This window comes from Homo sapiens, chromosome 1, assembly GCF_000001405.40.
Source record: "Homo sapiens chromosome 1, GRCh38.p14 Primary Assembly".
NCBI classification, from domain to species: Eukaryota; Metazoa; Chordata; class Mammalia; order Primates; family Hominidae; genus Homo; species Homo sapiens.
In genome coordinates this window covers 206042669-206053334 of record NC_000001.11, presented here as the reverse complement: position 1 = coordinate 206053334, position 10666 = coordinate 206042669, and the positions used below count along the sequence as shown (strand labels likewise).

Genomic DNA, 10666 nt, shown 5'->3' with positions numbered 1-10666 from the left:
CATGTCGTGGGTGATCAGGCCACACTTCCACCTAGATGGAGTGGGGCAAGTTCCAAAGACTAGTCTTACCAAGTTTCAGATGTCCGGACTCCAAGTGCCAGTTCCTTCCCGGTGTTCAGCCACTGTGTTAATCCTCCACAGGGAACTGCTACACGCTGCTCTGGTGAGGCATTCCACCGGGGCAATTTCCTACCCGGGAGTGCTCTTTGGATCGCGTCACTCGGGCTGGCCGGAGTCCGCCTCAGGGATGCTCCACAGGGGAGGCCTAAGCCGCCTAAGGGGCTGCCTCGGCTGTCCATCAGTTACCTCGTTTCCTGGTCAGGGAACCAAGAAATGTAGCAGGACGAGCCGCAGACAAAACCCCTCAGACACCAAATTGTAGAAGGAAGGGCTTTATTCAGCTGGGAGCATCAGCAGGCTACTGCCTTAAAATCCGAGCTCCCCGAATGCACAATTTCCGTCCCTTTTAAGGGCTCACAATACTAAAGATTTCACATGAAAGGGTCATGATTGATTTGAGCAAGCAGGCGGTATGTGACAGGGGCTGCATGCACCGGTGGTCAGAGAGAAACAGAACAGGGCAGGGAGTTTCACAATGTTCTTCTATACAATGTCTGGAATCTATGAATAACATCAGTTTCTAAGTTATGAGTTGATTTTTAACTACTGGGTTTAGGCCAGGCAGGCCCAGGCCTGGTTTCGGGCCTGGCGCCGGACTGCCTGTCTTTGGTTTTACTTCCTTGTTGTTTTTCCTTAAAACAGGTACTGAGTATAAAACAATATAAAACAATATGAGAGGGTCTCTCTCTTCCCTCACAGTGACCTGGGTCTCAGACACTTCCTAACTGTGATCTTAGGACAAACACTTAGCTTTTCTGAGCCTCATCTGTGAAACAGACAGAATATGAATGCCTACCTCATGGAGTTGTTTAAGAACTCAGTGATCAGACTATTATTCAACAGTAATAACGAGCCAGGCCCAGTGGCTCACGCCTATAATCTCAGCACTTTGGGAAGTCAAGGCAGGAGGACCGCCTGAGCTCAAGAGTTTGAGACCAGCCTGGGCAATATAGCTAGACCTTGTCTCTACTTTAAAAAAAAAAAATCCGAAAATTAGCTGGGTGTGCTACTGCATGCCTGTAGTCCCAGCTCCTTGAGAGGCTGAGATAGGAGAATCACTTAAGCTAGGGAAGTCGAGGCTGCAGTGAGCCATGATCACACCATTGTACTCTAGCCTGGGTGACAGAGCAAGACCCTGTCACAAAAACAAACAAAGAAACAGAAGACAGGAATAACCACCATTTGTATTGTTCTAGTTTTCAGTTGGTCTTACCTGAGCAGAGTAATTGGGTGAGATTGTTCATGGAGGCATTGCTGGCTCTCTAGTCCTGGAACCTACAGTTGGTCCAATTCATTATGCCAAAGGGTCCGTCTAGGAGGTTCTTGTTCCAAGTATTGAGATTCCCGAGAGAAGTAGGTCCCCTTAGATAGAAGCAGAGTTTCTCAGAGGTATTTAGCAGCAGCTGGTGGACACAGGACTCAGGGAGCTGGCCCCCCTCTTCCCTTCCATGTCTTTCATTCCTGCATGGGAACCTGTCAGATGGGGAGATTGTTAAAATCTCACCACTGGAGGGGAGGGCCTCAAAGGCCATGGAGACAGCACCTCTCTCTTAGTGAAGGCATCTTCAGATAGAATTCAGCACAAATTCAAAGGTGGCTCCCCAGACCCTATCTGTCACATCGCCCTCTCATCTATTAGTATCTGAAGTCACCTTGATCATTTATTTGTTTACTTGATTATTGTCAGCCTCTCATCACATGAATGTGAGCTTCATAAGAACAGAGACCTTATCTGTTTTGGCCAACATTTCACCCCCAGTGTCTAGAAAGTGCCTCATGCAATGAATAGGTCCAATACATATTTCTTCAATAAATGAATGAATGAATGAATGCCAAAGACTCCTTCATAAAAGCCAGGGTCAACTGACCTCTGCCAGAATTTTGGAGAGCCTACACCACAGACTTTTGAACCTCTTAGCTGATGACAAATCTTTAGCCTTCGAAGCGGAAATTGATTTGAAAGAGCCCAAAGTACTCCGGTAAAGTAGGTGATGTTGAACTGGGTAATGTCAATTTCAGAAAAAGAGGACACGTGCCTGTGAAACACCAAGAGCAGTGTCCTGGGGTTGGGGAGGACACCTGCCTGGGTGTGGGTGGCCAAGGGGAAGAAGGAAGAGAAAGAGCAGGGGAAGATGCTGTCCCACAGCCACCACCACAGGTGTTCACCGGCCTCAGGCGCCAGCCCTGCTCAGGGTGAGAGGCGAAGAGGGAGGTGTGCTTAAGGCCAAATGAAAGAGGATCTGCCACCCTCTCCTCCCCCAACTCTTACCACATTCTAGCAAAGAGAGCTGCAGGAGCAGTCAGGAAATCCCCTAACAAGGCAAGCATTGGAACCAAGAGCCCAGGTGGCACGGATGAGTCACTTCACTTACTTGGACTCAGTTCCCCTATTTGTGAAATGAAGCAAGGATGAGAAGAGGAACAAGACGTGATCAAGAAAAAGGCAAATGTTTTCACAAGTGCCTGTCATTGCCCCCTTCTGTTGTCCCCTTCCACATGTCACCTGGTACATTGTACATTTCTTCTAACAATTGTGTTATTGGCCAGGAAATACAGAGAATTCTTTTAGAGAATAGGTTTTCTAAGTGTTAAAATTGTTTTTATTTTTAATTTTGTAAGGGGAGGACATCATCACCTTTTCAGTTTGGGACTTTTGAAGTGTTTGTTTCATTAGGTCACATTCAGATGGTTTTAGAATTCAAAAGGTACAAAAGGATAGTCCTGGAAAAGCTGCTCATCTGCTCTTGACCCCAGCCATCTAGTTCTCCTCCCTGGAGGAAACCAGCATGCCCAGTTTATTGTGTACGTTATGTGTACATGAGCAAACACACAGACACACAGAAACACACTCACCATACAGGCGTCTTCCTTACACATGACAGTGTACTACATACTTTGTTTTGCCTTTTGCTTTTTCACTTAATATATCTAGGAGTTAATTTATTATTAATACATACAGAACTTTCTCATTCCTTTCTTCCTCTTCAGAGTGTTCCGTTCTATGGTTGCTCACAGTTTATTTAACTGGTCATCTAGTAGTAAATTTAGATTGTTTCCACTTTTTACACTTGAAATGATGATGTAATTATTAAACTGCAACAAACATCATTTGCACAGGTGTAAATATGTGTGTAAAATTAGAGAAATGGCCATTAAAGTAGATCTGCCATCCCAGTTTTAGGAAGTCAGTATTCCTTTTTACAAATCCAAAATACAGTGTTACCCAATTTGACTACTCATATTATAATCCAGATTTCACTCTGGCTGTTTCCAAAAATCAAAGCACTCCTCAGAGAACAAAGATATGACATCACTGAGGATATTCAACAGAACTACCAATTTCTCTAAAGGCCGACCTCCAAGGAGAATCCAAACGCCTTCAGCAATAACAGCATCACTAGAGTGAGTATAGCATGTCCCTGGATGCTGATGATGGAGCGATAAACCCTCATGACACAGACATTTCCAAACAATTCAGGCAAAGTTTACTGAGTGCCAACTACATAGTCTGTTTAAAGCCCAGTCTGTCCTATTACACTGGTCTTTCAGTTTAAATAAATAAATAAATAAATATAAATAAATAAATAACCCAGTCTGTAAGGATGAATAGAAAAAGGCCTTGTCATCAAGAAACCAATGATCTAGGGAGCAGTTCTCAAAGTGTAGTCCAGGGACCCCCTGGGGGTTCCAGAGATCTTTTCAGAGGGTTCATGAGGTCAAAACCACTCTCTTAATAATACTAAGATACTAGTTGCCTTTTTCACTCTCAGTTTCTCTCAAGCATACAGTGGAGTTTCCCAAAGTCTATGTGACATGTGGTATGGCATGAGACTGAGTGCAAAGGCAGACCTGAGAACTCAGCTGTCTTTTATTGAGCTAGGTATGAATAATGAGATTTGCACATGCATAAAACAGTGCTTCTCTTTTCATTAAATTCTTCATGCTTTGGGAAATAGTTATATTTCATAAAAAGTGTTATGTTTAAGATGTAATGGCTTTGGTACTATTTTCTAAGGGGATTAGATAAATATTTTTAAATTTTCTTAGTTTTAATTTCTGATATGGTCAATATGAATAGATATAAACTACATAAACAATAGCGTTTTGGGTTCCTTAGTACTTTTTGAGAGTGTACAGGGGTCTGGAGGCCAAAGAGTTTGAGAATTGCTGATCTAAGGACCCATGGCATTTCTTCACCATAGGGCAAGAGAGGAGCATTTTGCCTTATCTGCCAAGAGTGTGCTATGCTACATCCAGGGGTGCAAGCCAAAAGATTCAGGAGGAACAGATTGGGTGTTCTCAAATAGCGATGTGTCAAGAGGACAGCAATTGCTTGGACACAAGAATTCCCCCCGGAGCCTGCTGGCTGGCAGTGCAGCGGCTGTGTAGAAAGGCTCTACCAGAGGGGCAAAGTCCAGGCATGAGGCAACAAGGAGGCTCTGAGGTTGGGGGAGCCTGCAGAAGAAGCGGAAGAGGAAGCTGGATAAGTCCGCCGCCCCTGGACTAAGCTGCTGACTACCTCCTGCTGTGATTCCAAGAGCCACTGCCTCAAAAAACTTCCTTGCAGGTGCTGGTGCCTGAAATTCCAGTGGAGGTGTTTCATTCCCTCAGCCAAAGGCAAATTCAATCCCAACAATCTCAAGTATCACTCAAGCTTACACAAGTGTGCAAATAACATTATGGAAGATAGATTCGAAGGTCACACTTTAATAAAACAAGAGAGTGTGTCTATAACAGGAGTGGGGTGGGATGGGTGGAGCGGACGGGAAATGGAGAACAAAGACTCAAAAATATGAAATAAATAGAACATAAGAGCAGTTCGTGGACCCATGATGTAAGAATGCCACTAGGGGGATTGATCAATCTGATTCTGGGTAGCTAAAATCAAAGAAAAAAAAATCCAATCCAGTCAAACTTCTCTGTAGCATATGGTATGTCCTTAGCAGCGTGAGACAGCTTACAAGGATAGAGAAGAATGAGACACGGGCCCTGGGTTCAGAGAGTGCTACCCCACGCTCACCCCCCACCCCAATTTAGCGAGGAAAATATCCGCGGCAACCATAGCAGCTGTAACAAAAGGTAGGTGTATAATCAAAGCTAAAAAGATGTACAAAGAAAGGGCTATTGGATCAGAAAGGAGGAGCAGGTTGTTTCTAACTTTAGTGACGAGGGAAGACTACATGGAGGAGGTGGCATTTGTTGTGGTCACGGATGTGTAGGAAGGATTCCTATGGCAGTGCTGAGGCTGTGGATATACCAGATGGGAGGGTGCTTGTAGTGAAGGCATGGCAGTTGGAATATCCAGCCATTTTTCCTTCGATGAACATCTGAAATCACTGCTAAGAGAGGGAGCATTGTACACCTGAGGGTGAAAGGAAGGCTGTCACCTAGGATGCAGAAGGAGGGAGGAACAGAACCTGGGAAGACAGAGGGCACGAAAGACAGTTCATGAACTTCAAGAGCCCAGTGGACTGAGATCATGTCTGATTTCACTTATCTCCCCGGCTTCTAGGCCAGTGCCTGGAACACAGCAGCCCTCAATAAATGCTCATTGAATGAATGAGAAGTTGGACACACTCCCTTTGCTCTTTTTCAGGCTGGCCACAGATGTGCTGCCGTAACCGAGTGGAGCCATATACTCTCACCATTTCTAGGACTTTAAATGTTTTTCTGGTTGCTTTTGCAGAATTTCATTTCTCCAAATAGAAACCCTGCGTCCTCTTGAGGTTTATTACAGAGGTATTTATTGGTTGGGGTTGCTTTAAAGATCACCATCAGGTTTTCATTTTGCACAGCAGCTTATTTGCAAACGTCAAACAGGTGTCTTAACATTTGGCATCCTAAGAAAATTAAACTGTCAGCCTCTTGGGCTCCTACAAAAGAGCACCAGTGAACATGTGAAGCCAGAACTGTCCACAGGTGACTTAACAGGAACTGATCCCATATTACCATCCTTTACTGGCTCTGCACATATCCTTCATTCAATTTAAAAACATAATAAAAATTTTTTTTAAGCAAGCACATTTTACTTACTTATTTGTTTATTTAGACAAGAGTCTCACTCTGTCGCCCAGGCTGGAGTGCAGTGGCGTGATCTCGGCTCACTGCAACTTCTGCCTCTCGGGTTCAAGTGATTCTCCTGCCTCAGCCTCTCGAGTAGCTGGGATTACAGGCACCCACCACAATGTCCAGCTAATTTTTGTATTTTTAGTAGAGACGGGGTTTTACCATGTTGGCCAGGCTGGTCTCAAATTCCTGACCTCAAGTGATCCACCGGCCTCGGCCTCTCAAAGTGCTGGGATTACAAGCATGAGCCACCGCACCTGGCCGCAAGCACATTTTTAACAAGTGCAAAATGGAAACCTTATGCACATCTTACGATTTCGTTGACGACTCAGAACTGGGGATATCTCGTGTGACCTCCGGTCAGCAGTTTAAAGGATGAGGCATACTTATCCCCATTTGTAGCTGAGGTAACTGAGTGATAAGTGAATTGCTCCAGGTCACAGTTAGCAAACAACAAAACCAGCATCCAAACAGAGGTCTCAAAATCCCTTAAACTACCTTTCATTTACTACACAGATTGTTTCTATATCATCTTTATTAGCTGTAATAACCACATAAATTTTGGAGTAGCTAAGGACAGTTGTTCAGGTTGTTTATTGCTCAAGGGCATGACATCTAAAGAAACTATCCAACCTGTAATCCCAGCACTTTGGGAGGCCAAGGTGGGCAGATAATCTGAGGTTGGGAATTCAAGACTAGCCTGACCAACATGGAGAAACCCTGTCTCTACTAAAAATATAAAAAATTAGCCAGGCGTGGTGGGGCATGCCTGTAATCCCAGCTACTCAGGAGGCTGAGGCAGGAGAATCGCTTGAACCCGGGAGGTGAAGGTTGCAGCGAGCCAAGATCGCACCATTGGACCCCAGCCTGGGCAACAAGAGTGAAACTCCGTCTCAAAAAAAAAAAAAAAGAAAGACAGAAACTATGCACATCACAGACATCATTATGTTGAATTTTTTTCACTTTTTTATTTAACTGCTAACTCTAAAGGTAGATGACATATTCTTATTAAAATAGTTTTCTGACAAATAACAATAAAATGTCTTCTCTAACAAAGATCCTTTTTTATGACAATTTTCTTTCAGATGGAAATAGATTTTCTAACAGGGTTGACATTTACTTCATAAGCTGAAGCAGAGAGTGTTTGACAAAGACCTTATTGGTTTAAGTAACGAGTGCCACAATAACTAGTGCTTCCAAACAAGGAGTTGTTTTCCAACTCTTGTTTTGATTTTTATCTAATTTTTTTTTAAATCCTGTATTAGTATTTGTGTATTGGCTAAATTTGAAGTTTTGCATTACAGTTCATATTGTCTGCCTGAATGGTAGCTCTGAATTCCTAATTTAGATCTACGGATTTTTATTATTACATAACTCACTTTTGTGGTAATTAATGATCATAGGCAATTATATATTCATAAAATAATTATTTTATATTCATAAATTAGAGACTATTATATCATGAATTGTGAATTGTATCATAGCTATTGTTTATGGGTTGTTAAAGAAAATTTCTTCAGGAGAAAAGCTAACTGCTGGTAAAGTTTCATGGCTTATTATATATATTTTTTAAAGTTTTAAGTTCTAGGATAAACTACTATTATGTTTTAATTATGTATATAGATATATACACATATATATATATATATATTTTTTTTTGAGACAGAGTGTCGCTCTGATGCCCAGGCTGGAGTACAGTGGCATGGTCTCAGCTCACTGCAGCCTCCGCCTCCCGGGTTCCAGCTATTCTCCTGCCTCAGCCTCCTGAGTAGCTGGGATTACAAGCATGTGCCACCACGCCTGGCTAATTTTTGTATTTTTAGTAGAGATGGGGTTTCACCATGTTGGTCAGGCTGGTCTTGAACTCCTGGCCTCGTGATCCACCCGCCTCAGCCTCCCAAAGTGCTGGGATTACAGGCATGAGTCATCATGCCCGGCCTTAATAATATTTCTTTAACATTTAATAAGCTAATATAATATTATTTCTCCCAGGATACTGATAAGAAAAAAAAATCAAACTAAAACTAGAAGATGAAAAGCTGTCTAGATAGAAAGTAAAGTAAAACTATTTGGATTATTGAATAAATTTAGGGAGAAATAGAGAGTTTAGGGCTGTTTGTTTCAGTGAATGTGTCACAGAAATGTGAGATGTGAATTTACCTTTTAGTTCCATTGTCAGAAATAATCGATGAATCTAAAAAAAAGTAGCTTTAAAAATGCAAAGAATTCAAACACATGGCCAAGTAGTTTGAATAGGAAACAAAGATGTACTCTTGCTGAAAATTATTCACCTCAAGTAAAAAATTTTTTATCTTTACAAAAGATAATACAGGTTGGAAGTTTTTGGAAATATAATGGACACAAATTTTTTCCAAATGGTGAGGAGAAATAATAATGACTAGATTCTGATTATTTTATTATACTTCCAAGGACTCTGTATTTTGCCAGCTCTTTGAGAACAAAAAATCAGCTGGAAAATGGGAAAGAATGCAAAGATTGTACAGCACTTGGCACATTTTTTTGTAAACATGAAGAATCTGAAATAAACATCAATAGGAATGCTAAGTATTCAAATTTCAAATCTGATTAGAAATATATAATTATTAATGCTGCAAAACAGATTCTATATGATGAGGAAAATATTACATTGAACAAAAAAACTCAATTCTGTTTTGGCAAGACAATATCTAGCATTCAGAGGATCATCTACAAAAATGTATAAGCAGTATAATAACAGGAATTTTCTTCATTTACGAAAAGCATAGAAGCTTAATAGAATTTACAGCAGTATACAAATATATATTGTATGTTTCAAATATGCAATAATTTGTATATATACAATATATATTTGTTTATATAAACATATACTTGTATATTATTGTACAAATATTATATACTATATATAAACACCAAATATATACCAAATATTATATACTATATATAAATATTATATACTATATATAAACACCAAATAGCATTTACACATTATGTAGCAGATGAAAAGCAAAACCAAATGATTAAAATATAGCAGATTTGTTGACTGAAGTTATTTTGAATCTTGTAAGAAGTGCTAAATATCACACAGTTAAATAACTTGAGGTACATTTCCTGATGTAAGCCACGTGGAACAGTTGACAATTATTTTTAGATTTGTACATTTTCAAAATGCAAATATATCTATATGTAAACATTAATTTTTTTCCCTACAGTAAATGATACAGCTGGAGAAGGATTATTTAGGTTTTTGGTTGACCACAACCATCACCAACAGAAGCACTGAATATAGGCTATAATGATTTGAGGGAGCAGATACAACAAAGATGAAAAAAATTTATGACAAACTTAATGGATTTCAGCATAGGTCCCCAAAAGATTCTAAGGCTGCCTTGCTCTGTCGCCCAGGCTGGAGTGCAGTGGCCTGATCTCGGCTCACCGCAATCTCCGCCTCCCAGGTTCAAGTGATTCTCTTGCCTCAGCCTCCCAAGTAGCTGGGATTACAGGCACACGCCACTGCACCTGGCTAATCTTCTGTATTTTTAGTAGAGAATGGCGGTTCACCATGTTGGGCAGGCTGGTCTCGAACCCCTGACCTCAGGTAATCCACCCACGTCAGCCTCCCAAAGTGCCAGGATTACAGGCGTGAGCCACCACGGCCGGCCAGGTTGCCTATTCTTTAAAGCCAATAGTGAATAAAATATTAAAAATTCCTGTCTGGGTGAGGTGGCTCACACCTGTAATCCTCTACAATCTGAAGGTCAATAGCAAAATTAGTTTTTTTCTATATTGGAAGCAATAATATCTCTTTAAAAGAGAGGCTTATAATAAAGAATATCTCAAGGTCTTTTCAGTATTCTAGATGACATGCATAAATTGAAAAATTATGACAAATATGAGCTTCTGCAACCATTAAAAATATACAATTGAAATTGAGAAACATAGGAGGAAGAGTGATACTGATGAAGCATTAGTGTAAGAGGAACTAAAATCCTGAAGTCGCTTTCTAAAATCTAGTTGATATGGCTGGGCTCACACCTGTAATCCCAACACTTTGGGAGGCAGGAGGATCGCTTGAGCTCAGAAGTTCAAAACCAGCCTAGGTAACATGGTGAAACACTGTATCTATACAAAATTTAGCCAGCATGTTGGTACATGCCTGTAGTCCCAGCTACTTGGGAGGCGGAGAGCAGAGGATTGCTTGAGCCCAGGAGGTTGAGGCTGCAGTGAGCCATGATCGTGCCATTGCACTCAAGCCTGGGTGACAGAGCAAGACCCTGTCTCAAAAAATAAATAAATAAGTAGATTAATAAAATCTAATTGCCTCCCATGAAATGCCTCAATTTATTTTCAGTAATAATATACCAGACACATTTTCCTAAAACCATCCTAGCTCTTAGGATACATTAACTTTGGTAGTATCAGCCAGCAGTGGAAAATGTAGATACTTTTAAAACAATTATAAAAAGCTACTTATCAAGAATGT

General features: G+C 41.0%; 1 protein-coding gene across 1 annotated transcript in view, besides 5 other annotated features; it reads right to left on the bottom strand.

The window, feature by feature from the left end:
• The window catches only part of RHEX (regulator of hemoglobinization and erythroid cell expansion), a 49277-nt gene extending 49115 nt beyond the window's left edge, over positions 1–162 (bottom strand). Inside the window, exon 1 of the mRNA NM_001007544.4 lies at positions 70–162. The gene's annotated coding sequence lies outside the window, so the exon portion shown is untranslated. The remainder of the gene's footprint in view (positions 1–69) is intronic.
• Positions 47–106: an enhancer, noted in NCBI's record as "active region_2395". NCBI's record gives its function as "activates an Ori minimal core promoter by ATAC-STARR-seq in GM12878 lymphoblastoid cells {active_cell/tissue: GM12878}" and the evidence as "EXISTENCE:reporter gene assay evidence [ECO:0000049][PMID:35858748]".
• Positions 527–766: an enhancer, noted in NCBI's record as "active region_2394". NCBI's record gives its function as "activates an Ori minimal core promoter by ATAC-STARR-seq in GM12878 lymphoblastoid cells {active_cell/tissue: GM12878}" and the evidence as "EXISTENCE:reporter gene assay evidence [ECO:0000049][PMID:35858748]".
• Positions 2130–2629: an enhancer, noted in NCBI's record as "active region_2393". NCBI's record gives its function as "activates an Ori minimal core promoter by ATAC-STARR-seq in GM12878 lymphoblastoid cells {active_cell/tissue: GM12878}" and the evidence as "EXISTENCE:reporter gene assay evidence [ECO:0000049][PMID:35858748]".
• Positions 3784–3853: an enhancer, noted in NCBI's record as "active region_2392". NCBI's record gives its function as "activates an Ori minimal core promoter by ATAC-STARR-seq in GM12878 lymphoblastoid cells {active_cell/tissue: GM12878}" and the evidence as "EXISTENCE:reporter gene assay evidence [ECO:0000049][PMID:35858748]".
• Positions 5583–5752: an enhancer, noted in NCBI's record as "active region_2391". NCBI's record gives its function as "activates an Ori minimal core promoter by ATAC-STARR-seq in GM12878 lymphoblastoid cells {active_cell/tissue: GM12878}" and the evidence as "EXISTENCE:reporter gene assay evidence [ECO:0000049][PMID:35858748]".